Source organism: Homo sapiens, chromosome X (assembly GCF_000001405.40).
Source record: "Homo sapiens chromosome X, GRCh38.p14 Primary Assembly".
NCBI classification, from domain to species: domain Eukaryota; kingdom Metazoa; phylum Chordata; class Mammalia; order Primates; family Hominidae; genus Homo; species Homo sapiens.
The window spans coordinates 74,451,542-74,475,601 of NC_000023.11; the positions used below are offsets into that span (position 1 = coordinate 74,451,542).

Below are 24,060 nucleotides of genomic sequence, written 5' to 3' on the forward strand. Positions count from 1 at the left end.
CAAGGAACAAATGACTGTAAAGTGGCTAAACCTCAGTAGGCTTGGCCATAAAGTGACACGGAAAATTGATAGTTAGTGATGGGCCATGAACTATGAAGTAGGGTGAACCCTTTGGATCCTCAGGACCCAATAGCTCAAAAATAGATCAAGAAGGAAGTGTGTACATGAGGGAAAATTGCTTATAGTGATGTGCCTATTTGCATTGAAATGTCATCCCTTGGGGGGTCCCCCCACCTGTCATGGGACAAATGTCTTATAGAAGAATGTGACAGCAAATGTGCCACACTGATCAGATGCTTTTGGCATACTTGAACCTTCCTGGTGTTATAAATAGGAGGGAATGAGCCTGGACTTAAATATGTCATGCTGTCAGAAACAGAAGGGATGTGCTACCATTAATAAGGGGCTTAGAGGATCCTATAGTTAAGAGCCAAAGAAGCCCTCTATTTCGAGAAGGGAAAAGTTCAATGACTGTCCGCTATCAGAGCACAATACGAGCTAAATTACTAGCAGTAGGTTGGTCCTTGACCCCTTTGGATCATAGGGAAATGATGATAATAGAGTTGGCAAGCCCCCAAGGCGCCCTCCAGACTGGACATGCATGGAGGCTGGGTCAGCCAGTTTCCACCACACTTCCAATTGCCAGTGTACTCTCTTCCTTGGAGCATTACCACCACACTCTCAGCAGGGTGGATTTGGGAAGTGGCCTGGAATATGGCAGGCCTTCCCTCTCATCCTGCTGGGAATAGTCTTGTCCGTTCCCGTTCTAGGAAAGAGAAGCAGAGAGATGCCAAAGGCTCAGGTACCTGTTGAATCAGAGAGTGAGCAGTGAGCAACACAGAAGGGTGAAGGCCTAGAGCATGTGGGGACCTCAAAGGTTATCTAGTAAAATGTTTTCCAAAATGTCCATTATAACCCATGAAATTAATTTAGAAGGTCACAATAAGCATTTTAAAAATAATATGCACTAGAAAATTTCAGAGTTTGTCACGCAGAGTAGGGATAATTAGTTTTGTGAAATTTGCTTGAGGTATATATAAAGATTATATATATAGTTTTAAATATATATCAGTTATATATGTGTACATTTTACATCACGACACATATGTGATGTATACATATACATTATTGCATATATAGCTATACACAGATATATAAATATACACAGGTCGTCCTTCACTGACGGTCACTGACATAGTTTCAATTGTCCTCAGCCTACAGTTCACTCTCCTCTGGACACAGTCAAGTTGGTTCTAAAGTATGGAGCCCCAGAACCTCAGCAGCCCTTCAAGGTATAGCCTACTCAGAGCAGAGGAAAACATGACTATCTCCTCATTTGTTCTGACCAAGTACATTTTGAACAATTCAGTTCAAGATTTCCAATAAGGTAGAATCTCACAACTTGGTACTCATTGAACTTACAGTTGCCTAAAACTCCTAGGTATCTCTCACACATGTCACTGCTAAGCCCTAGCTCCCTTACTCCCTTATCCTACTGCTGTGCAGGTTGCTTTTTTTTTTTTTTAGACAGGGTCTCGCTCTGCCACCCAGGCTGGAGTGCAGTGGTACGATCTTGGCTCACTTCCGCCTCCTGGGTTCAAGCTATTCTCCCGCCTCAGCCTCCCGAGTAGCTGGGATTACAGGTGCCACGCCTGGCTAATTTTTAAATTTTTGGTAGAGACGGGGTGTCGCTATGTTGACCAGGCTGGTCTCGAATTCCTGACCTCAAGTGATCCACCCACCTCAGCCTCCCAAAGTGCTGAGATTACGGGCGTGAGCCAACATGCCTGGCAGCAGGTTGCTTTTTAATCCTAGTACAGAAACTGTCATTTATCTTTGTTAGAGTTTACCTTTCACCTTGACTCACCTTTTTAAAATGCATTTACACATCCCATCCATGACCATCTCTATGCATATTTAAATCTGGTTTCATTGGCTCAGAGGGAGCTGCATTTAAACCCCACGTAGCTCTCTCTCAGAAGGTCATATTTATTTTTTTTCAGACTGTTCCTTTAAAAAAACTGTTATTTTTTATTTATTTATTTATTTAGAAATAGGGTCTCACTATGTTTCCCATCTTGGAGTGCAGTGGCTATTCATAGGCACAATCCCATTATTGATTAGCATGGGAGTTTTGACCTGCTCCATTTCTGACCTGGGCATGTTCACCCCACCTTAGACAACCCAGTGGTTCCCCACTCCTGGGAGGTCACCATAATGATTCCAAACTTAGTGCAGACACCCAGTCGGCACGAGGTGATCTTCTCGTGCTTCCCAAGTAACTGGGACCACACGCGTGTGCCACTGTGCCTGGCTTTTAACTATTTTTTTATTGATACATAATAATTGTACATACTTATGGGGTACTTGTGATATTTTGATATATGCATACAATGTGTAATGATCAAATCAGGGTAATTAGGTATCCATCACCTCAAACATTTATCATTTCTTCCTGTTGGGGACAGACCATTCCTTTCATTGCTCATCTATTATTTTTCTGACTACCATGATGCCCCTATTCTAGCCAAGCCAGTGTCCTCACTGTTTTCTTTCCTGTACTCGAGACATAATTCTACCACTGGGCAGACTGTAAACTAGTTCAACCATTGTGGAAGTCAGTGTGGCAATTCCTCAGGGATCGAGAACTAGAAATACCATTTGACCCCACCATCCCATTACTGGGTATATACCCAAAGGATTATAAAACATGCTGCTATAAAGACACATGCACACGTATGTTTATTGTGGCACTATTCACAATAGCAAAGACTTGGAACCAACCCAAATGTCCAACAATGATAGACTGGATTAAGAAAATGTGGCACATATACACCATGGAATACTATGCAGCCATAAAAAATGATGAGTTCATGTCCTTTGTAGGGACATGGATGAAGCTGGAAATCATCATTCTCAGCAAACTATCGCAAGGACAAAAAACCAAACATGGCATGTTCTCACTCATAGGTGGGAATTGAACAATGAGAACACATGGACACAGGAAGGGGAACATCACACACCAGGGCCTGTTGTGGGGTGCGGGGAGGGGGGAGGGATAGCATTAGGAGATATACCTAATGTTAAATGACGAGTTAATGGGTGCAGCACACCAACATGGCACATGTATACATATATGACAAACCTGCACGTTGTGCACATGTACCCTAAAACTTAAAATAAAAAAAAAAATTCTACCGCTGGGCTTTTGACTACACTAAGCCTTCACTTATGATACCCTCTTTGCCATAATGTCTTTCATGGCCCAACTTAAGTCATTATATCCTCCATGATTCTTTATTCAGTAGCTCTAGATCATATTGATCTATCCTCTGAATTTGTAAATTTCAACTGTATTTCTTGTGTATTGCTTCACATTTAGTTTTGTATAAGTGTATGTATTCTTATAAAAAATACATATAAATGTCTTATTATCTGCATTGTTGGTGCATGGCTGACTCACACAAGTGGGCACTCTAAAGCCAGAATGCCTGGGTTCAAATTCAGATGTACAATTCTATAATTTAGTAGTTGCATGTACTTGTGCAAATTACTTAATCTCTGTATGTCTCAGTTTCTTCAAAATCAGGATAACATAGTATGTGTTGCATAGGTTTGCTTAGTGTTTAAATGAATTGATATATCTGAAGTACTTGAAACAGTCCCTGACACATATAAACACTCAATAAATATTAACTATAATTATGATTAAATACTATACGCTTTCATATATTTTATCTCGGGGAAAGTTAGAGCAGGGATTGTCATCCCTGTTTTATGGATGAGTAACTAAAGTTTGAAAGGTTAAGTGACAGTGTAAGATTATATAAGTGAGCTGTCTCAGGGTCATTAGGGGATTAACTATAAAGTAGAAAATACTAAAGGCCATAAGAGAGGGAAGCAAAAGACCCTTAGGAATTTAGAAGCTCTTCTGGCTGGGGTGGGTAGGAAAGGCTTGCTGATGTCCATGAAGAAGCAATGAAGAATGTGCAGGATAGGGTCAGCCTTGGTAAGTGTCCATCCAGCCATTTTAGGCAGAGAGGGCTCAAGTGGAGTAAGGGGTAGTGGAGGAGGTAGGGTGTGGCTCCTCCTACATTTTGCTTCCGGTATAGAGGGCATGGTCAGAGGCCAGAGGAGAAAAAAATCTGAAGAGGAGACATCTGGGCATGGCAGCCATGTGGGGAGCAGTCAGTAGTAGTTCTGTGGTATGTGCAGGAGTATAGTGTGTGGGAGAGAGAGGAGAGCCTGCAGTGGCAAGACAAGGCTTTGGACCTGTGTTCCAAAATACCTATTCACAAAGTCCATGAATATTTGGCTACTGCTCTGGGCCCTTAGAATCCTTGATTGATTAGCTCAGGCAACTTTATCAGATTAACCAGCTGACCTCTTTGAATGGCACCCACTGTTCACTCAGTTGTGTTAGGCTGTGGGGAACTGAAGAGAAGGAAGAAGCAAGGTCTCTTTCCCAAGGAAGTCCCAGTCTAGGTAATTGACTATAGTTGATTATGTGTGAGTTATGGTTGTTGCACGAATAAATTATTATTTCATGGATTGTGTTCTAATTCATAAGTAGGGCTATCAGGGAGAGACAAGAAGTAGATAAAGAAACTGCCAGGTGGCAGGAGGGCACTGGCTGGGGAAAAGAAAGTGCAGAGAAGGGAGGCTAAGAGTTGGATTGAAGGTGGGAGAAGACATTTTGCTTCCTTGCGATTGGGCAGCTAGCCATTCTTAAAGTCCAGTGTGTGGGCCAAGATTCTTGGCCAGGCCCGAGCTTGGAAAATGGTGAATTGAAATATGAGTTTCCATGTACCTTTCTACCTTAGTTCCCTGGGTCTTCATCTGCCCAGGGGAGATAAAAAGAATGAATAAGAGAGCAGTTGAGGTGATTTCAACTCCATGGGATGCTGCTACAGACACACTTGAGCTGTCATTATTATGGGATGGGAAAACTGGATGTAAATTAAGATTATTATCACCTGTGCAACGACAACAACAACAACAACAACCACTACTACTACTACTAAGAATAATAATAAACTCATGTGATGCTGCCAGCATTCTAAAGAGCCTACCTTTGGGTACTGCCCCTGCTTCATGGGCTCAAAATTGAGGAGAAACTGAAGACTGTTTGCATGCCTTTCAATCTTGGATCTGCATAGACAATTCCTTAGGACCAGCCCTTGCTAGTGAGCTGGGTTAGAAATGCTCTTTGCACTCCCCTGCTAGCCAAGCCTTGTCTGTGCAAAGCCACCGGGTCCCTTCTGTCCGGTAAATTTCTAGAATGTTAAAGTACTTGGAAGGACCCTTACAGGCCATCAAGTCTGACTCCTTTGTTATACTGATAGAGACATGAGGGTTCAGAGAGAAACAGGGACGTGACTAGGGTCACACAGTAATGCAGTGGCAGAAATGGCCCTAATCCAGCTGGCCCTCCCAGCTGATAGGCCAGTGTGCACTTTCCATAGTATCCATCTCTCTCTACTTCCTATCCTTCTATCTCCACCAATTTCAGTCACTTGAGTTGTTACTGGTATTTCTCAGCCCCAGTAGCCCATCAAAATCCTCTGGGGAGCTTAAAAAAATACTGATGTCCTGGCCCCACCCCAGACCAACCGAATCGTTGTCTCTGAGGAATGGAGTGATTTTTTTTATTATACTTTAAGTTCTAGGGTACATGTGCACAATGTGCAGGTTTGTTACATATGTATACATGTCCATCAATGATGGAGTGATATTTTTAAAAGCTCTCTAGGTGATTCTAATGTACAGTCAAGATCAAGGATCACTGCTCAGGAGAAAATTAGCCTCATGTCTATGAGGAGACCTAAAGGACAGACTCCCAGTGAAGCAGACTTCCCAGCCTCCATTGACTTTGGGCCACTCTGCACCTCAGTAGGTCCCCAAACCCTGGTATGTGGAGGACGTAGGATTCTGAAAGTATGAATTTCAGGGTCACCAATGCTGTCCTTGAGCTCCATTGACCCTCTTGTCATTGCCTTTCCCCTCATGCTAGATCAGAAGTATTTTATTTCCAGACTTTTTACTTTTTCTTTACCCATCACGAAGGCCTCTGAGGAGACTGCCTGCCTCCAGTAGGCACAAACAATTTGTCCCAGCTTCTGACTTTTTGGGGAGACACACACACACAAGGAATGTCTCTTCTTTGGCTCCTTCCGAGGGGCTTGTACTGAGTATCTAGAACCACCCGCCAGCCTCCATTCCATCTACTTGCCATTCCCACACATAGAGCTTGCTTCCCAAGAACCAGACTTTGAGGGACAGCCAGCACAAAGCAGAGAGAAGGGAGGCACTGGGCACCGGGACCCCTAATGCTGTTCAGCATTTTGCCTCTTGTCTTGCTGGCTATGGGCCCATAGTTAATTTATAAACTTGACTTGCCCAGGGATAAGTAAGTACAGATGTGTATCTTTTTCCACACCACCAGTGGTCTTTCTTTTTTCAGAAAATAGGATTCACTGAAATATTCCACAAAACTAAACATTAGTGATACTAAAGAAACAAAACATCCTCTTCAACACATTACATAAACCTGCCCTCAAATAATCAGGCTAGAAGGGATTATCAATAATGTTTGGCAATATATAGTCACTTTGCTTTTTTAAGTGGCCTCCCCCTCATCCTAGCTTTATTGGAGCATAATTGACAATTAAAATTGTATATATTTAAGTTATACAATGTGATGATTTTATATACATATACAGTCTGAAATTTACCACAACCAAGTTAATTAACACATCCATCACCTCAAATAGTTAGTATTGTTTTGGTGTGGCGTAAACACTTAAGATTTACTTTTTCTTTTTGAGTCAGAGTTTCGCTCTTGTTGCCCAGGCTGGAGTGCAATGGCGTGATCTCAGTTCACTGCAACCTCCACCTCCTTGGTTCAAGCGATTCTCCTGCCTCAGCCTCCCGAGTACCTGGGATTACAGGCATGCACCACCACACCTGGCTAATTTTGTATTTTTAGTAGAGACGGGGTTTCTCCATGTTGGTCAGGCTGGTCTTGAACTCCCGACCTCAGGTGATCCACCCGCCTCTGCCTCCCAAAGTGCTGGGATTACAGGCATGAGCCACCGTGCCTGGCAAGATTTACACTTAACAAATTTCAAGTACATAATATACTGCTATTAACTACAGTCACCATGCTGTACATTAGATCTCCAGAACTTGTTTCATAACTGAAATTTTGTACCCTTTATCCAATATTTCCCCATTCCCCACAACCACCAGCCTTCAGTAACCACCATTCTAAACTCTGCTTCTATGAGTTCAACTTTGTTAGATTTTACACATAAGTGAGATCATACAGTATTTGTGGTCGTTTGATGCCCTCCCTTGGTAAGATTTTTAATCTTCCCTCTACCTCTTTCCATCTATGACTCAGTGTTCAGGAATTTGCTTGTTAAATCTCCTGGATTGGTGTTGTGTGGGCTTTAAAATGTAAAATCAAAGTTAGAGCAATAAAGAAATCCCTTTGGGCCAGTGTTGTGAAAGAATAACTTATTCTATTCAGTGCAGTGGGTGGTGGATGGACTAGAGTGCCCAGAAAGCCCAGCTGGATCCCCTTAAGCCAGTTATAGACCTCTGCTCTGGCGTTTACCTGTAACTGAGCCATGACTCCGATCTTGATCAACCATGTTATTTAGCAGGGTGTGGTGGTCCTCAGCATATATATATATATATCTCACAAGTGTTCACTGCCTCCTATCAAGGCTAGAAGGTGAGCGGTATCCTGGGAAGAAGAGGCTGAGGCCAGTGCCCCCCCAGGGGCTGGAGTTGAGTTGAAGTCATGGCTGTCAGCAGATAGAAATGTCAACTAGTGGTGGCCTCCAGTGGAAACATCTTGCAGGGAGAGACTGTACCCCAGCCAGTCCCTGGAGTTTTGGAAGACAAAACACTCACTGAAGGACAGAGTTTGAGTTCCCCCTCCCCACTGGGGCTCTGCCACTTAGAACTGTGTGACTGTGGGCAAGTGGCTTAGATACATTCTGTTTTCTCAGTCATCAAGCAGGTATACTTAATACCTATCAGTGCAGTTGTGTGTAGTAATGCAGGTTAAGTATATAAAGGGGAGGTGCTCAAGAAATGTTAGTTTCCCAACCTTTCCCTCTCCTATCCTAGTCCCAATAGTCACACCCACTGTTGGAAGAAAACAATTGCATCTGACACTCTCTCCAACTCCTACCTCACCTCCTTGGCCATTCTCCAGACTCGGGTGATTAAGAAGATAGAAAAGATAAGGAATGTCTGGAGCACATAAGGGTCCATACATTCAGGGTAACTGCAAGGGCTTCTGGAGTATAATGACTTTGGTCAACAACTAGCATGGGTGGCATGAGCATGTTAGCCCATAACAGAACAAGTACTGGGATGTCAGGGCCGTGGAAGGAAAGAGCCAAGACTCAAGGTGGTCTGACTTCAATGCATCAAGCAGAGGCTTGCTGGTCCCTGTCCTCTTCTGTTCTGCTTTTTAAAGACTAAAGGTCCCTGTGGGTATGGAGAAAGCAGCTGCATCTGAGAAAATAAGTAATACAGTAGAAGCTAAAGATGGAGTTCTGTGGCACCCATGAGAATGTTCCTGGAAGACTTCCAACTACGGGGAGCATAATTGACCAAGGGTCTTGGCTGCTGCACTCTGAAATCGTCCCAGCATTTGTGCTGAGGTCACACCTGCTACATGGCCAAGATACTAAGGTGGGCCTGTTCTTGGGAGACACAGAAATCCTCTGATTGCCAACTGACCACCAACTGACCTTGGTTTCATGAATCCATGATGGTGTTGCCAAACCTTCCTTAGAGTGCAGGGCAGACTAGGAAGCTTCCACCCAACCTTCCCTCATCCTCTCTTTCACTCAGGGTCAGACTTACATTGCAGTCTCACGTCTTCCCTAGCTTTCTCAGACTTCCTCCCTATCTGCTGTCATTTCTCTTAATAAATCCCTGCATATGCAATCCCATTTTATTGCCTACTTCTCTGAGGTCCCAGACTAACACAAATTCTGACCAACATGAAATCAAATGTATTGGCCTAGAGCCTGGCCTGTACCCAGGGTCTAGCCTTGGGCCACTTTTAGAAAACATTCAGCAGGTTTTTTGTTTGTTTTTTGAGACGGAGTCTTGCTCTGTCGCCCAGGCTGGAGTGCAGTGGTGCGATCTCGGCTCACTGCAAGCTCCACCTCCCAGGTTCATGCCATTCTCCTGCCTCAGCCTCCTGAGTAGCTGGGACTACAGGCGCCCACCACCAAGCCCAGCTAGTTCTTTTGTATTTTTAGTAGAAATGGGGTTTCACCGTGTTAGCCAGGATGGTCTTGATCTCCTGACCTCGTGATCCACCTGCCTCGGCCTCCCAAAGTGCTAGGATTACAGGTGTGAGCCACTGTGCCCGGCCAACATTCAGCAGGTTTCTAAACATTGGAGAAGTATCCCTAAAGTTTGAAAAGACTTCGGGAGTGATATAAATTTATTGCCCTGCTTTACTCTGAATGAATATCTCAGACAAATAAGTTTCTTTTATTTAATGTTCCAACTCAGTGTCTTATATGCCTTCTTATGGAAGATGTTTCTTTAATCTAACTATAGTATTTCCCAGGAAGCTCTCATTTTCTCCTGTCCTCCATTTTGGACTGAGAGTCAGAGAAATCTAGCTCCAGGTTTGCCAGTGACAAACAGTGTCATATTGGACAAGTCCTTGTACTCTCTGTAACCTTCTCTTTCTGAACCTCAGCTCTTATTTTTTGTGACTACCACTTTTTCTGTTTCCTCAGTTCCATTCCTCAGAACCAGTGTTCAAGTTCTCCTAAAAGATATTGGTGTGTTAGAAAAGGAGAGAAAGGGAGAGAGAGAGAGTGTGTGTGTGTGTGTGTGTGTGCACGCGTGCATGTGTGTCTGTCTGTGAAAAAGAGGGAAAGAGGGAGAGGGAGAGGAAGAATTGGAGAGAAGGAGAGAAGCAGAGGGAGAGAGAGGGTGAAAGAAAGACATCTCTGTGCAGCTTATTTCCAGCTCTGCTTGGCGGTTCCCTCACACGCAGTGCTAGGCAACACACATGGTGACCTACTTTTGCAAGAAGGCTCTATTTTGGAGTTACAGTCTTCTTTACCTTCCTCCTTTGCCTGGGATGGCTCTGCCACTAAACAGCAGATACAGATGTAAGGAACAGAGGATTGGTGGCTCTGGTATCATTACCAAATTTTAAAAATTGTAAGGATGAAAGGCATTCCAGCTCTTAGCTTTGTGTTACCAGAAACCACTCCAGAGATTTGAAACTGAATCACTTACAACTCCTCCTAGGAGGAATTCAGGCTTAATCCCATCTCCATCCCCATCTAGAGAGGCCAGGATGCTTTGTCCCAAGCCCCTGAATCCCTCAAATCTGACCCTGTCCCCTGCTGTGGCCACCACTCTCTCCTATTTCATTGGAGTGTCTCCTCCTGAGCCTTTCAGCCCAGTCCAGGCCAGCTCCTTAATAGCTGCCCCTTCCCGTGAACTCCCTCTTCCTGCCTCCTCTTCCCTCCAGTGGCAGAAACCCCACCTCTGTTGGCCCAGTGTCTTTGAAGAGAGTCCTGAGATGCCCCTCGGAGTTTGGGTAGAGCCCTTGCAGGCATCCAGAGAACAACTGGAATCAAGGCCCTTTGTGCTTTCTGGTTCCCAAGCGCCTTTGGGGCTTGAGGTTCTCTTCATTAGTGGTGGATCTGAAGTGTTTGTTTCTCGAGTAGCCTGACTGCTAGTGTTTCACCCAGAGTTTTTGGTTATAGTTTGGTGTTTGTTTGTTTGTTTTTGAGATGGAGTCTCGCCCTGTCACCCAGGCTGGAGTGCAATGGCATGATCATGTCTCACTGCAACCTCCACCTCCTGGATTCAAATGATTCTCCTGCCTCAGCCTCCCGAGTAGCTGGGATTACAGGCACCTGCCACCATGCCCAGCTAATTTTTGTATTTTCAGTAGAGACGGGGTTTCAACATGTTGGCCGGGCTGGTCTTAAACTCCTGACCTCGTGATCCGCCCATCTCAGCCTCCCAAAGTGCTGGGATTACAGGCGTGAGCCACTGCACCCGGCAGGTTTGGTGTTCTTAACCCAGCATCTCACAACTTCTGTACTGAGCCTTCTATGGATCTTTGAAAAATGGGCTTCTCCAGAAGGTAGGGGGAACTTTCACAGCCCTGGGAGACCATGACCAAAGGGAAACATGACTGAATGGGACAGAGGAGTAATTGTGCTTAGGACTAGTTTAGCAGAAATTCATTAGGGGGCTCAAGACATCTGTGAAAAAACTGAAGCAAAATCCCATAAAAATAGAAGGCCTTCAGAAACACTGCCCACAGACTCAACAAAGGGATCTGGCCTGAGAAGCCCAAAACACTTGGGCCACCAACTTCTGCTTCTTTCTTGTGAGACCACATGCAGGTCTCTTCATCTCTTTGTGGCTCAATTTACCCACTTATAAAATGAGGGACCTGGACTCTATCTTTTAGGATAGTGAAAAAGTAGCTAGCCTGGGAAAGAAGAGATATACACAACTCTAGAGATTCTTCAGATTTTTCCAGGGACTACTGCAGAGGGAGAGGATGGATGGGGACAAAAGAAATGAGAAAAAAAAAATCGGTGGAGTTTCCAGTAGGCTGACAAGTGCCTCCATCACATCAGAGCATTCCTGCTTTTATATTATTTATGCAATGTACTTCAGTGTAAAATTGCAATTGGAAAGGAAAGGGGGTTCCATGGATTTAGGAAGGTTTTAACTTTCTAACTTCTAGCTGCAAGTGAGTCTGAAAAAGTAAGAATGTAGTTTTTATAGCTTTTGTAATGATGGTAGAAACAGAGAAGAGGGTTGAAAATAAGAATATTGAGTTAGTTCAACAGCATCCACTATGATTAATATTTTTTGCTCTAAATTTGATTACTTTTTAGAGCTTATTAATGCATAACTGATGTACAATAAACTGCACATATTTAAAGTACATTATTTGGTCAATTTTTTTTTTTTGAGATGGAGTCTCACTTTGTCACCCAGGCTGGAGTGCAGTGGCACGATCTCGGCTCACTGCAAACTCCTCCTCCCGGGTTCATGCCATTCTCCTGCCTCAGCCTCCCGAGTAGCTGGGACTACAGGCGCCTGCCACCATACCCGGCTAATTTTTTTGTATTTTTAGTAGAGACAGGGTTTCACCGTATTAGCCAGGATGGTGTTGATCTCCTGACCTCGTGATCCACCCGCCTCTGTGTCCCAGAGTGCTGGGATTACAGGCGTGAGCCACCGTGCCCGGCCTATTTGGTCAATTTTGACAAATGTGTACATTCATGAAATCATTGCAGTAATCTAGATAATGAGCATGTACATCATCCTCAAAAGTTTCTTCATGCCCTGTTTTAGTTCATCCCTCCCTCCACCACCATCGTCTGGCAACTACTGCTCTGCTTTCTGTAACTATAGATTAATTGGCATTTTTAGAATTATTTATATGTGGAATTATACAGTATTTACTCTTTTTGTCTAGAGATTTTTCACTTAGCATAATTATTTTGAGATTCAGAATAAGGTGTGTATCAATATTTTATTCCTTTGTATTGCTAAATAGTATTACATTGTGTTGATAACACAGTTTGTCATATCTAATTACCTGTTGATGGGCAGTTGGGTTGTTTACAGTTTGGGGCTGTCAAATAAAGCTGTTCTGAACATTTATGTACAAGTTGTTTACAAGTACTTTTAAAATTTAACTAATGACTTCCATTTTCAAAATGTTTCCAGCAGAAACTGACTTGGGAAATGTTGCATTTGTGTGTCTCTTTGTACTCAAGCTATTTTTTGGCAGTTTTTGTTGTTGTTGATATTTTATATCCTTTGATGTTATTACACATTGTTGATCCTACAGTTGCACCTCCCCAAGCATTGTGAATAGGTTTCTGAAAGCCTTTGTAGGAAGAATTTCAGTTGAATAATTTAAGACTTGTATAAGGAGTTTTCTTGAGGGGGACTGAGAGGCAAAAGCCCTTGTAAATATTTTATATTTACTAAAACAAACCACTAAATATAATACCAAATAAAGATGGTATTAATTTCCTTTTAAACCCACTGGCCTAGACAAAGGCTAGAGTCTTCACCCAGCTAGGGGAGACTGGAAGTCCATAAGTGGGCAAGAGACACAACCCTAAAATATTCAGTTTCAGACCTAGGCTAGGTGCAGTGGCTCATGCCTGTAATCCCAGCACTTTGGGAGGAGGCTGAGCGGGGAGGATCACTTGAGGCCAGGAATTTGAGACCAGTGTGGGCAACATAGCAAGATCTCATCTCTACAAAACAACAACAACAAAAAACTTGAGGCCAGGAGTTTGAGACCAGCCTGGGCAACATAGCAAGATCCCATCTCAATAACAGCAACAACAACAACAACAACAACAAACAGACCTATTGCTCCTCCATGGAGCCAGGGAACATGGCAACACAGAGGACTCCCATCTCCAGTACTAGGCCAGCCTATGGCCAGCAAACAGCTGTTGTTTCAGGAAAGGGGTTCAGAGAGAAATTGCATGGTGTGAAAAACTGTTAATGAAACAGGATATGAGATCCATCTCATGTCTTCCTTCCAGTACTCCCCAAGGAAATGGCCATACTTGTATTTCACTCTTATTTTATTTTACATTTCCTTAATAAAATTTTAAAAGGTTTCATGAGGCTATATGGAAACGAAGGATGACTCTTCAGGCCATGAGGAGAGTGTGGCATGAGATTTTGCCGCAGTATGGAAAGGAGAAGCCTGGAATGGGGAACCAAGCACAAAAACTTTGTCCTGGGAGTTCCTGCAGGTGTCCTTGAGAATGAACTATGGCAGAGAAAGGCAGGGGCAGAACCCTTCAGAGAGCATTGACTCATCAGCTGCTACAACCTGATGAGCCGATCAGGTTCTTGCTGCTCTTGCCCACCCTTCAGACTCTTTCCCTGAGCCTCAAAGCCAGCTTGAACAATATTTCACTCTTCTAGGCTGCCTGGGGAGTTGGGAGTGGTGCTCAGCCCATTTTGTGGGGGTTGGAGACTGTTTGTGCACCAGGGCAGTCCCCACTAGAAGGCAGGAAAGAGCTGGAGAGGGTTGGAGAGATTCCCAGTAAGAAGCATGCTGCAATTTTCTTTCACAACCAACCCCCATATTGGGGTGACAATTCCAGGGAAATGGGATGCATTGTTCTCTACTTGCTGCTAGCCTCTGGGCCATGAACAAAGTAGTAAATTGGCCCTGTGAGGGAGGGGACAGAAGGGGGAGGTGGTGGAGGATATGGGGACCAGAAGCCCCTGGGGCTGACTGATCTGCTTACAAACATCAGAACTTCCCCTCCGTGACCCTCCCAGCCCCCAGGGAATGAGAACTGTTTTGCTCTCCTAGATCAGAAAGAACAAGATGTCCTTATCTGGTGGGAGAGGGCTGGTCAATACCACCTCCAAGGAGAGAAGAGAAAGGACCCAAGAGAACTGCAAGCCCAGCAGGAAGCATCATTCTTGGGGAAAGCCTAGAAAGAAGCAGGCAGGCTCCATCCCAGGCCCACAGGGTTTCAGGAGTCCGGATGGGCGGTGGATTCAGACTCCATACTCTCCCACCAGTGCTTCAAAGCCCTGGTGCTTGTGGCTGGTGTTAATTTTTTACTTTTATTGTCTTTATGAGCTTTTTCTAAACCTGGCTTCTAAAAAGCTATGAAAGCCAAACAGCTTTTCAGGCTACAGCATTCTCCACCCCCTTTCCTGACTCCCTACTTACCATTCCTCTGACCTTTCTTGAGCACCTACTTTACTGTGGGAGAACAGCCATCCCTCAGTATATGTGGGAGATTAGTTCCAGGACCCCTTGCAGACACCAAAATCCACAGATGCTCATGTCTCATGTCCTTTACAAAAATTAGTGTAGTATTTGCATATAACCTATATACATCCTCTCATAAACTTTAGGTCACTCTAGATTACTTATGATACCTAATACAATGTAAATGCTATGCAAATAGTTGTTATACTATATTGTTTAAGGAGTAATGACAAAAAAAGTCTGTACATGTTTAGCACAGACACAGTCATCCATTTTTTTTCAAACATTTTCGATCTGCTGTTGGTTGAACCCACTGATGCAGAACCCACTGATAAGGAGGCAAAAGATTCTGTGTAGGGTCTGCTGCAAACCCATGCTTCTTCCAGGGCTCTCAGTCTCTGTTACTTTCCTCACCAAAAAGTTGCCCTTTTGTGTATGGTAAAAACAACGTTGTCCTTCCCTGAATTAATTTACCAACCTTGGTCTAGAAGCCCATGTCTTTGTCACAATACTCAATATTTAGTGATGTGGCCCTAGAGAGGTTTTAGACTTTCAGTCAAGGTTCTGATATTTTTGGTCTGATTCTGCCAACCCAGATCATTTTATGGCCACAGAACCAAATGGAGCTAGATGCTTTCCTGGCACAATTGGTGAGTTTTGTTCAATTCAACAAACCTTTCTTGAGCACCATGTCACCATATGCCCAGATAGCTCTCTGCCAGAGAGAGAGGTATAAAGCCCTTTAAGGGCCCGCCCCTCCCCTCCATCTTCCTGCCTTTTTCTACCTTGCTGCACTTCTTCTGCCCATACAGGCTCAGCTCCATCTAGAGAAAGCTAAGCTGGAAAGTGGTAAGGGGCCTTAGATATAATCTTTTCAGAACCCCTCATGATATAGACAGAGAAAGCAAGACCCAGAAGAGTAAGAAACTTGACCTAGGCTACACAGCAGATTAGCAGTAGGGTTTGGAGTTGGGGTCTAAGGCTAAGGGGGGGCTTCTAAAACAAAGAGAATATCCCAGGTTAGTATGTGCATTGGGGTGGATGTGGGAACATGTGAAAAGCCGGTCAAGACCAATAACCTAGACTTTGTGGCCACATCTAGGATTGGTTTGAAGGTTACCTTGTAGGCCCCTAGCACTCCCGCCCAAAGTATGTCTCAGAAACAGAAATGGCACCTCTGGGTAATTCTTTTGGAGCTTGAAGGCTGTGCACATTTAATTTTCCAAAAATAAAATCCTAGTATAGGCAAAGCCTTGTAGGAACAAAGCCCTGAGGGAGGCAGCTCAGAAAAGACAATTAAGAAAACCCCAGAGAGCCTTTGTAACTACATAGTACAAAAAATTCTACCAGTTTAAAAAAGATATTCTTGCCTCCTTCCATATATTCCACAGACTGATTGTTGTCAGGCATGCTCCATGACATAGAAATCTGACTTTGTCAGTCCCCCTCCCAGAAACCACTCATGAATCACATAGTCCTGGTGAGATTAGATCCAAACTCCTGGCCATGCCATTCAAGTTCCTGGGCAACTTTCCCAGGATCATCTTTTCCCACCCAACTCTTACCTAAACCACCCACACATACCTTCTTCATTCACACCATATCATTCACATTTCAAGCCTCCAAACCACTGTTCATGCTGTTCCATCAGCTTGAGATACCTTTCTCTACTTTTTGATTATTAGATTATCCTTCAGGGCTCAACTCAAAGATCACCCTCTATTCTGTTAAACTTTTAAAAAAATAGCTTTATTGAGACAAAATTTATTTGCCACACAATTAACCCAACTAAAGTACACAATTCAATGGTTTTTAGTAAATTCACAGAATTGTGTAACCATTACCACGATCAATTTTAGAACATTGTCATCACCTGGAAAGAAACATGTACGCTTTAGGCATCCCTACCACCAAAATCTCCCCATCACCCCCTCGCAGACCTTGGCAAATACTAATCCACTTTCTGTTTCTATAAATGTGTATGCTCTAGACATTTCATATTAGTGGAATTATATAATATATGGTCTTTTGACTGGCTTTTCTTCACTTAGCATAATGTTTTCAAGGTTCTTCTATATCATAGCATGTATTAGCAACAAATTTCTTTTTATGGCTGAATAATAGCCATTGTATGGATAAACTGTACCACATTTTGTTTATGCACTTACAAATTCATGGACATTTCAGTTGTTTCTACTTTTTGGCTATTATGAGTAATGCTGCTATGAGAAGTCCAGTACAAGTTTTTAAATTAGATGTACATTTTTATTTGTCTTGGTTATATACCTAACAGCAGAATTGTTGGATGATATGGTACAATTTTAAAAAAATATTTAATTTAATTTTTATGTGTACATAATAGTTGCACTATTTATGGGGTACATGTGATATTTTGACATAAGCATACAATCTTATAATGATCAAATCAAGGTAACTGGGATATCCATCACCTTAAACATTTATCATTTCTTTATGTTAAGAACATTCTATTTCCATTCTTCTAGTTATTTGGAAATACACAATTTTTTGTAACTATAGGCACCCTATTGTGCTACCAAAAACTAGATCTTATTCCTTCTATCTAACTATATTTTTGTAACCATTAGCCAACCCTTCTTTATCCCCCACTCCCCATTACCCTTCCCAGCCTCTGGTAACCATCATTCTACCCTTTACCTTCATGAGACCAATCAACCTTTTTAGCTCCTATATATGAATAAGAACATGCAACATTTCTGTGCTTGGCTTATTACACTTAATATAATGACTTTCAGTTCTACTCACGTTGTTGCAAGTGACAGGATTTCATTCTTTTTTATGCCTGAATAATATTCCATTGAGTATATGTTATCACATTTCCTTTATCCATTCACCTGTTGATGGGTACTTAGGTTGATTCCATGTCTTAGCTATTGCATATAGTGCTGCAACAAACATGGGAGTGCAGATATCTCTTGGATATACTGAGTTTTCTTCTTTTGGATATATACCCAGCAGTGGGAATGCTGGATCATATGGTGGTAACTTGATGTTTAATATTTTAAGGAACTGCCAAAATGTTTTCCAAAACAGCTAACCCATTTTACATTCCTACAAACAACACATGAAGATTTCAATTTCTGTACATCCTCACCAACACTTATTTTTTGTATTTTTTTTATAGCTATTCTAGTGGTTGTGAAGTGGTATCTCCTTTTGGTTTTTATTTGCAGTTCCTTGACGACTAAAGATATTAGGTATCTTTTCATGTGTTCATTGGCCATTTGTATATCTTCTTTAAAGAAATGTCTATTGAAACTCTTGGCCTGCTTTTTGTTTTTAAAGACGATTTTAGGGCAGTTTTAGATTTGTAGCAAAGTTGAGCAGAAAGTGCAGACATTTCCCATATACCCCCTACCCCCCAGCATGCACAGCACCTCCACTATTAACTCCTTCACCAGAATAGTACTTTTATTATAATTGATGAACCTACATTGACACATCATTATTACCCAAAGTTCATAATTTACATTAGGTTCACTCTTGGTGTACATTCTATAAGTTTTGTCAAATACATAATAACATGTGTCTACCATTATAGTATCATACAGAATAGTTCCACTGCTCTAAAAATTCCCTGTGCTTTACCTATTCATCTCACCATCCCCCTGGCAACCACTGATCCTTTTACTGTCTCCATAGTTTTGCTTTTTCCAGAATATCATCTGATTGGAATCACACAGTATGGAGCCTTTTCAGATTGGTGTCTTTCACTTAATAATATGCACTTAAGATTCCTCCATGTGTTTTCATGGCCTGATAGCCAATTTCTTTTGAGTGCTGAACAATACTCCACTGTCCAGATGTACCAGAGCTTATCCATTCACCTACCGAAGGAAATCTTGGTTGCTTCCAAGTTTTGGCAATTATGAATAAAACTGCTATAAACAATAATGTGCAGGGTTTTTTTGTGTGTGGACATAGGTTTTTGACCCACTTGGGTAAATACCAAGGAGCACAATTGCTGGATTGTACCATAAGAGCATGTTTAGTTTTATAAGAAACTGCCAGACTGTCCTCCAAAGTGGGTGTACCATTTTGCATTCCCACCAGCACTAAATGAGAGTTCCTGTTGCTTCACATCATCACCAGCATTTGGTGTTGTCAGTGTTTTGGATTTTGGTTATTCTAATAGGTGTGTAGTGGTATCTCATTGTTTCCATCTGCAATTCCCTCATGACATATGATATTGAGCATCTTTTCATATGCACATTCACCATACATATATATTTTCTGGTGAGGTGTTCATTTAGATTTGCCTTTAAAAATATCAAGTTATGCCAGGCGCGGTGGCTAACACCTGTAATCCCAGCACTTTGGGAGGCCGAGGCGGGCAGATCAGGAGATCGAGATCATCCTGGCTAACACAGTGAAACCCCGTCTCTACTAAAAATACAAAAAATTAGCCGGGTGTGGTGGCGGCTACCTGTAGTCCCAGCTACTAGGGAGGCTGAGGTAGGAGAATGGCGTGAACCCAGGAGGCGGAGCTTGCAGTGAGCCAAGATGGCGCCACTGCACTCCAGCCTGGGCTACAGAGCGAGACTCCGTCTCAAAAAAAAAAAATCAAGTTATTTATTTTCTTTTTGTTGAATTTTAAGAGTTCTTTGTATATATTATTAACAATTCTTTATCAGATATGTCATTTGCAAGTATTTTCTCCCAATCTTCTCATTCACTTGATAGTGTCTTTCACAGAGCAGAGATTCTTAATTTTAATTAAGTCCAGTTTACAAATTATATCTTTTATGGATTGTGCCTTTGTTGTTATACATAAACAATTACCACCCAAGGTCATTGAAATTTGCTTTTATATTATCTTCTAGGAATTTTAGAGTTTTGCATTTTACATTTAGGTCTATGATTAGTTTTGTGTGAATTTTTGTGAAGGGTGTAAGCTCTGTGTTGTTACTGTTATTTTAGGATTAGGAATGAAAGACAGTTATTATAATCCTGGGACCTCATTTCTCTGATGGCTCTAAGAACAGTGGTTTATTTTTCAGTTTGTTTAGCTTTTTATTTGTTGTTAGGACAGAGTGATAACTTCCAAGCTCTTTACATGCCAGACTGGAAAACCTTTGCCCATTTGTCAATGTTATTTGTCTTTTTATTGTTGAATTATTAAAGTTTTAAATATATATTCTGGATACTCAACCCTTATCAGATAAATGATTTGAAAATATTTTCTCTCATTCTGTGTGTTATCTTTTCACTATCTTACTGGTGCCCCTTGAAGCACAAGTTTTTCATTGTTTTATTGTGGTGAAATATACAGAACATAAAATTTATAATTTTAACCATTTTAAGTGTACATTTCAGTGGCACTAAGTACATTTATGTTCTTGTGCAACTATCACCACCATCCATCTCCAGTACTTTTTCATCTTCCCAAACTGAAACTCTGTGTCTATTAAACATTTTCTCTTCTTCTCAGTCCTTGGCAACCACCATTCTACTTTCTGTCCCTAAGGATTTGATGACTCTAGGTACATCAAGTAAATGGAATCACACAGTATTTACTTGTCTTTTTGTAACTGGCTTATTTCACTTAGCATAATGTCTTCCAGGTTCACCTATGTTGTAGCATGTGTCAGAATTTCCTTCCTTTTTAAGGGTGAATAATATTTCATTGTATATACACACATACATACATACATGCATATACATATACATTTTGTTTATCCAATCATCCATCAATGGACATTTGGGTTGTTCCCACCTTTTGGCTATTGTGAATGATGCTTCTCTGAACTTTAGGGGACAAATATCTGTTTGAGTCCCTGATTTCAATTATTTTGGGTATATACCCAGAAATATGTTTTTAATTTTTATGAACTCCAATTTATCTAGTGTTTTTTTGTTGCTTGTGCTTTTAAAATTATTTCTAAAAACTATTGCCTATTCTATTTACTTCTATGCTTTCTTCTAAGACTTCTATATTTTTAATTCTTATATGTAGGTATGTACTTCATTTTGAGCTAATTTCTATATATGGTGTCATGTAGGAATTCAGCTTCATTCTTTTGTATGTGAATATCTAGTTGACTCATCACCATTTGCTGAAAAGACTATTTTATCTATATTGAATTATCTTGGCAACCTTGCTATTAATCAATTCACAGGAAATATAAAGGGGTTTTTAAATGGACTCTCAATTTTGTTTCATTAATCTGTACGTTCATTCTTATGCAAGTACCACACGGTTTTTATTACTGTACCTTTGTAGTAGATGTGAAATTAGGAAGTGTGAATCTCCCAACTTTGTTGTTCATTTTTCTTCTTTCTTCTTTTTTTTTAAAAAGACATTTATTCAGCATCATAATCAGACTATTACATTTAGCAATCAACAGCATGGGTGCAAAAAAAAAAAACAACCTACATTAAAACCCTTCGTTGGAATGCTTTACACTTTCCACAGAACAGAAGCTAAAATAATCCGTTATACAATTAGTCACAAATACAGTCCTCGAGTTTTTTTCCCATACATATGAGTATTTGTCTAAAACATGTCTGCTTTGTAGCAGCTAGGCCCTGCCACCACTGTGCTTTGCTAAATTCACAAATCTGTTGTAACCTGTAGCTTCCCTGCCACTTCTCTGGCTCTCCGCTCCTGCTAAGGTTTGTTTCCTAATTAAAATCTTCTGCCACTGCCACAGCTACTGCTACTACTGGAACCATCATAGCCACCTTGGTTTTGTGGTTTGGCAAAGAATTGGCCTCCACCACCATAGGGGCCAGAGCTTCTGACTCCAAAGTTTCATGGGTCCATAATTTGAAGACTGATTGTTGTAACTGCCAAAATCATTGTAGCTTCCACCACCTCCAAAATTGCTTCCATCATTACCAAATCCATTATAGCCATCCCCACCGCCACCATAACCACCACCACCATGACTGCCACCAAAGCCACCATGACAACTGAAGCTTCCTCCACGACCACCACCTCCATGACCATGATCAAAGTTTCCAGAACCACTTCCACCTCTGGCTGGATGAGGCAATGGCCAACTCTTGCTTTGACAGGGCTTTCCTAACTTCACAGTTGTGGTCATTCACACTATGGTATTTCTGAATGACAGTCTTATCCATGGAGTCATGGTTGTCAAAGGTTACAAAGGCAAAATCCCTTTTCTTACCACTGCCTCAGTCGGTCATGATTTCAATTACTTCAATTTTTCCATACTATTCAAAATAATCTCTTAGTTGATGTTCTTCAGTGTCTTCTTTAATGCCACCAACAAATATCTTTTTCAAAGTTAAGTGGGCACCTGGTCTTTGAGAATCTTCTCTTGAGACAGCTCTCTTTGGTTCCACAACTCTTCCATCCACCTTGTGTGGCCTTGCATTCATGGCTGCATCCATCTCCCCCACGGTGTCATATGTGACAAATCCAAAGCCCCTGGAGGGCTTGGTGTTTGGATCACTCATTACCACACAGTCTGTGAGCATTCCCCATTGTTTAAAATGACTCAACCATTTTGAGCCATTTTCAGGTTGTTTCAAAGCTCAACCCTTCAATGAAGAGCTTCCTCAGCTGTTCGGGCCCTTTAGGAGATGCTGACTTAGACACGATGGCAGAGTGAAGACAGACTTTAATGACGCTTCCTCAGCAGTGTCCATGGGCAGAAAGCTGTTGTTCATTTTTCAAGATTCTTTTTGCTATTCTAGTTCTCTTGCATTTTCATACACATCTTAGGATCAGTTTGTCAATTTCTGCAAAGAAAATGCAGCCAGGGTTTTTATAGGGATATTGTTGAATCTGTAGGTAAATTTACAGAGATTGCCATCTTAATAATATTAAGTGTTCTGATCCATGAAAATGGAATGTTTCCAATTATTTAGATATTTTTAATTTCCTCCGACAATATTTTGTAGCTTTCAGAGTATAAGTTTTATACTCCTTTTGTTAAATTTATTCCTAAGTAGTATATACTTTTTGATGCTTTTGTAAATGGAATTGTTTTAATTTTATTTGAAGATTGTTTATTGCTAGTATATAGAAATGTAATTCATCTTTGTATATTGATTTTCTATCTTGTAACATTGCTAAACTAAGTTATTAGTTCTAGCAGGTTTTTTTGCAGATTCCTTAGTGTTTTTTTTTTTTTATTATACTTTAAGTTTTAGGGTACATGTGCACAACGTGCAGGTTTGTTACATATATATATGTGTGCCATGTTGGTGTGCTGCACCCATTAACTCGTCATTTAACATTAGGTATATCTCCTAATGCTATCCTTCCCCCCTCCTCCCACCCCACAACAGGCCCTGGTGTGTGATGTTCCCCTTCCTGTGTCCATGTGTTCTCATTGTTCAATTCCCACCTACGAGTGAGAACATGCCGTGTTTGGTTTTTTGTCCTTGCGATAGTTTGCTGAGAATGATGGTTTTCAGCTTCATCCATGTCCCTACAAAGGACATGAACTCATCATTTTTTATGGCTGCATAGTATTCCATGGTGTATATGTGCCACATTTTCTTAATCCAGTCTATCATTGTTGGACATTTGGGTTGGTTCCAAGTCTTTGCTATTGTGAATAGTGCCGCAATAACCATACGTGTGCATGTGTCTTTATAGCAGCATGATTTATAATCCTTTGGGTATATACCCAGTAATGGGATGGCTGGGTCAAATGGTATTTCTGGTTCTAGATCCCTGAGGAATCGCCACACTGACTTCCACAATAGTTGAACTAGTTTACAGTCCCACCAACAGTGTAAAAGTGTTCCTATTTCTCCACATCCTCTCCAGCACCTGTTGTTTCCTGACTTTTTAATGATCGCCATTCTAACTGGTGTGAGATGGTATCTCATTGTGGTTTTGATTTGCATTTCTCTGATGGCCAGTGATGATGAGCATTTTTTCATGTGTCTTTTGGCTGCATAAATGTCTTCTTTTGAGAAGTGTCTGTTCATATCCTTCGCCCGCTTGTTGATGGAGTTGTTTGTTTTTTTCTTGTAAATTTGTTTGAGTTCATTGTAGATTCTGGATATTAGCCCTTTGTCAGATGAGTAGGTTGCAAAAATTTTCTCCCATTTTGTAGGTTGCCTGTTCACTCTGATGGTAGTTTCTTTTGCTGTGCAGAAGCTCTTTAGTTTAATTAGATCCCATTTGTCAATTTTGGCTTTTGTTGCCATTGCTTTTGGTGTTTTAGACATGAAGTCCTTGCCCATGCCTGTGTCCTGAATGGTATTGCCTAGGTTTTCTTCTAGGATTT

The 24,060-nt window shown here is 41.5% G+C and overlaps 1 protein-coding gene and 1 pseudogene across 1 annotated transcript in view; one reads left to right on the forward strand and one right to left on the reverse strand.

Annotated features, from left to right (window-relative positions):
• SLC16A2 (solute carrier family 16 member 2) overlaps positions 1-24,060 on the forward strand; it is a 112,424-nt gene that overhangs the window by 30,049 nt on the left and 58,315 nt on the right. The window lies entirely within an intron of this gene.
• HNRNPA1P25 (heterogeneous nuclear ribonucleoprotein A1 pseudogene 25) lies at positions 21,139-22,472 on the reverse strand (annotated as a pseudogene).